The 4,067-nt window shown below is 46.6% G+C and overlaps 1 pseudogene; it reads right to left on the reverse strand.

Moving 5' to 3' along the window:
* On the reverse strand, positions 893–2,143 carry EMP2P1 (EMP2 pseudogene 1; annotated as a pseudogene).

A 4,067-nucleotide genomic window follows, 5' to 3' on the forward strand; every position in this document is an offset into this window, starting at 1 on the left:
CGAAATGTCGATTCACTGGCTAGGGCAGATGGGGAGGTCATTGTAAGAAGAGACCACAGAGACTAGACAATGACAGGCCCTGGGGAGTCATGGTAAACTCGAGAGTGGCGAGAGCAGTGTGTTTGTGGAAAGCAAGTTTAGATGGATTTGAATAGGAGAAACAAGGGTTCTAGAGGTCACATGGGAAGTCGTGTTAATCAGGGTTTCAATAAGACCGGGCTAAAATGGCAGAGGGAAATGCAGGGTTGAAGGCAAAGGTAGTGTGTGAATGGGGGCGCGGTGTATTTCTGGTGAGCCTGCTAGGTGCTTTTTTGGCACTGCTCTAGGTACTTTGGGTTAGGTCTTCAACGTCCTTGTGAATTAGTACCCAAGAAGAAACGGCCTCAGATTAAGTCATTTGCTTAAGGTTGCACAGCCAGTTGGTGCTGGAGTCGGATTTTGAAACCAGGCCAACACCACTGTCCCTCCTGTGTTCACTTCACCTTATCACAGTTCTCAGGAGGGCCTGGGGTAATGAACAGGTGGCAGAGACAGCAGGAAGAGTCTGGAGTGGTTGTGTGACCATTTAGCCCAACCTTGGCACCTTCTAACAAAGAGTAATACCCTCGAAGTATACTTCATTTACTACTGTTTCTGCTTTATATTACCCCTCAGCATCTCGCGCAGAAGAAAGCAAAGGGAAGCAATGGGGCATCTGATTGGTCTGGGAGCTCCAGATAGCCAGCAGGTACTTGAAGGCTGCAAGCCAGCTTGAGAGCAGTGGCTGGAACTGGAAGGGGTGTGCACACTACCAATAGCAAGTGAGCAAGAGAGACCCACAATAAACTGAAGGTTATTACAGTACTACAGTAGGCTCTAAGAAAGTCCCTTCTCCCACTTTAAGAAACAGGGCTTTTTTTTTTTTTCTTTTTTACTTTTAAAGGAAACAATTCATTTGCTAGAAAAACCTAAAAAAAAAAAAGATTATATACAAAATGGTTGTCTGAATGTGGATTTTATACTGCAGCAAAAGCAACCCAGCTCTGGAACTCTATTCGGCTTCCTCAGTTATCAGGTACATCATGCTGCTGATGAAGGTGAAGGCGAAGGCCACCCACGCCAGGATGTAGGAGTAGCCATAGCTGCCTTCTTTGGTCAGGTAATAGAAATCCGTTGTTTCATCGCGCCTGTCTGTATAAATGGAGGCTGCAATCATGAGGCACAGATATGACATTGTAGCATGGTGTACTTTTTTTTTTTTTTTTTTTTTTTTTTTTTTTTTGAGACGAGTTTCGCTCTTGTTGCCCAGGCTGGAGTGCAGTGGCGCGATCTCGGCTCACTGCAACCTCCGCCTCTCGGGTTCAAGCGATTCTCCTGCCTCAGCCTCCCGAGTAGCTGGGACTACAGGTGTGTGCCACCACACCCGACTAATTTTGTATTTTTAGTAGAGATGGGGTTTCTCCATGTTGGTGAGGCTGGTCTCAAACTCCCGACCTCAGGTGAACCCCCCGCCTCAGCCTACCAAAGTGCTAGGATTACAAGGCGTGAGCTACCATGCCCGGCCGCGGAGTGGGGTACTCTTTTTTTTTTTTCTTTTTTTTGAGACGGAGTCTCGCTCTGTCGCCAGGCTGGAGTGCTGTGGCGCAATCTTGGCTCAATGCAACCTCCAAATCCCTGGTTCAAGCGATTCTCCTGCCTCAAGCCTCCTGAGTAGCTGGGATTACAGGCACGCACCACCACGCCCGGCTAATTTTTGTATTTTTAGTAGAGACGGAGTTTCATTATGTTGGCTAGGCTGGTCTCTATCTCCTGACCTCATAATCCGCATGCCTCGGCCTCCCAAAGTGCTGGGATTACAGGGGTGAGCCACCGCGCCCGGCCCATGGAGTACTCTTTAAAGCTGTCATTGATTACTGTACACTTCGTGTTTTTGGTACATATTCTCCAGACATCTGCAAAAAACTCATTTCCTACCCACCAGGCATTGTCGATGGTGGCGATGAACAGCAAGGCCGCAGAGGTGATGTGGAAGGCGACGGTGAAAGTAAGAAGCACCAACATTTTCATAGGGCAGGGCGAGGCGAGGGGTCACGTTTAAAGCCCAGAGCGGGATGTGCCGGCGCTGGCCGCTACGCAGGCTGCTGGACCGATGGACCGGCTGGGGTGCGAGGCAAGGCCGCCGGGCTGTTTTGAAGCTCTGGGCTGAGACTGTGCACCCTCCCTCCTCTGAAACCAGGGCTTCTTGAAATGGCAGATTCCAAGTTTGTGTCAGGAAAGGGGTAAAATGAGCCTGAAATAGCTGATTACATCAGATCTCAAACTCAAAATCTAGGGATGTTATCAAGATGGCTTGGGAGTTAACTTGAAGATGCTCACTCTGGCTAAAGATGGGACAGTCTGAACCTGTTGAATATGTGTAAATCCATGAGTTTATGATGATACCAAACACACATGCACACACCCCTAATTGGTCACTATTGGAGAATGCCAGGGAAATAGCTCTTCCCTCCCCCTACAACTCCTCTGGTGGTAAGTAAAAGAATCAATAATTAATCTTACCTTCCTTATATGAACTATACCACTGCGTAACTGAATAGTCAACAAGATGAAGTTTCTCTGTACAGAAGTATTCCAACAACAACCAAAAAGAAGAAGTAATAGAGTCTTATCTCACAACCTCTGATGAATTCATGGATCTAGGCAACGGTCGATGGCTACTAACATCACAAAAAGATCCAACAAAACAGACATTTATGTTCCTTCTGACCAAGAGCACCATGCTTATGAGGAGGCCATGCCTGATCAAAAGATCAGATCTGTAGTTTAGAGCCAACTGCTAATTTATAGGAAAAACGAGCACAGAACATGTTATACTAAATCAATCAACAAAATCCAGACCGTAAACTTTACAGGACAATTGCTTCAGCCTCTTCAAAATTCAATTTCAATAGGTAGAGAGAGAAAAGCAGGCAAAGCTGAACTATAGTGCGTTTAGGAAAGTACAGCATAATATACTAATGTAAATTAAGAAAATCATTATCCTAGAAGTCAGGATAGGGATATTATTATTATTACTATTTTGAGACAGAGTCTCGCCCTGTCACCCAGGCTGGAGTGCAATGGCATGATCTCGGCTCACTGCAACTTCTGCCTCCCAGTTTCAAGTGATTCTCATGCCTCAGCCTCCCCAGTAGCTGGGATTACAGGCACCCACCACCACGCCTGGCTAATTTTTATATTTTTAGCAGCGATGACATTTCACCATGTTGCCCGGACTGGTCTCGAACTCCTGACCTCAGGTAATCGGCCTCCCACTCAGCCTCCCAAAGTGCTGGGATTACAGGCGGGAGCCACTGTGCCCGGCCAGGATAGGGATATTCTTAGCAGAGGGTTCCTAGGATAGCAAAATCTTTTCACATGGATATTGGTTGCAAGGGGGTTTGCCTTATAACAATTTATTAATCTACCCATTTGTTTTATTAAGTTTTAAAATTTGTATTATAAGGGCTGGGCGTGGTGGCTCATGCCTGTAATCTCAGCACTTTGGGAGGCTGAGGTGGGTGGATTGCCTGAGCTCAATAGTTCTAGACCAGCCTGGGCAACATGACGAAAATCTGTCTCTACAAAAAATAACAAAAATTAGCCAGGCATGGTGGTGTGCATCTGTGGTCTCAGCTGCCTGGGAGACTGAGGTGGGAGGATCAGTTGAGTCCTGGAGGTTGAGGCTATAGTTAGCCAAGATTACACCACTGCACTCCACTCCACACTCCAGCCTGGTTGATAAAGTGAGACCCCCATCTCGAAAAAAAAAAATGTATTATAAGTTTAGCCCTAAAGGGCTGTGAACGTGTGTGTCTACGGTTATACTGGGTAGCTCCTAGTCTCTAAGACCATAGAACCAGTCTTAAAGGCTGTGCACCAAGATCCGGGTGTGCCCTCCAAAACAACAACAAAAAAGATTGTGCATCAAGACCAGTGCTCAAAATTAGACTTAAAAGAATTGGTCTGCTAAGGCCCTGTAGTCACTGCTGATCAACACAGACATCACGCCCCAAGAATTGTCCCTGCTGCCTCTGAAAACTGGCTGC

Source organism: Homo sapiens, chromosome 2 (assembly GCF_000001405.40).
Source record: "Homo sapiens chromosome 2, GRCh38.p14 Primary Assembly".
NCBI classification, from domain to species: domain Eukaryota; kingdom Metazoa; phylum Chordata; class Mammalia; order Primates; family Hominidae; genus Homo; species Homo sapiens.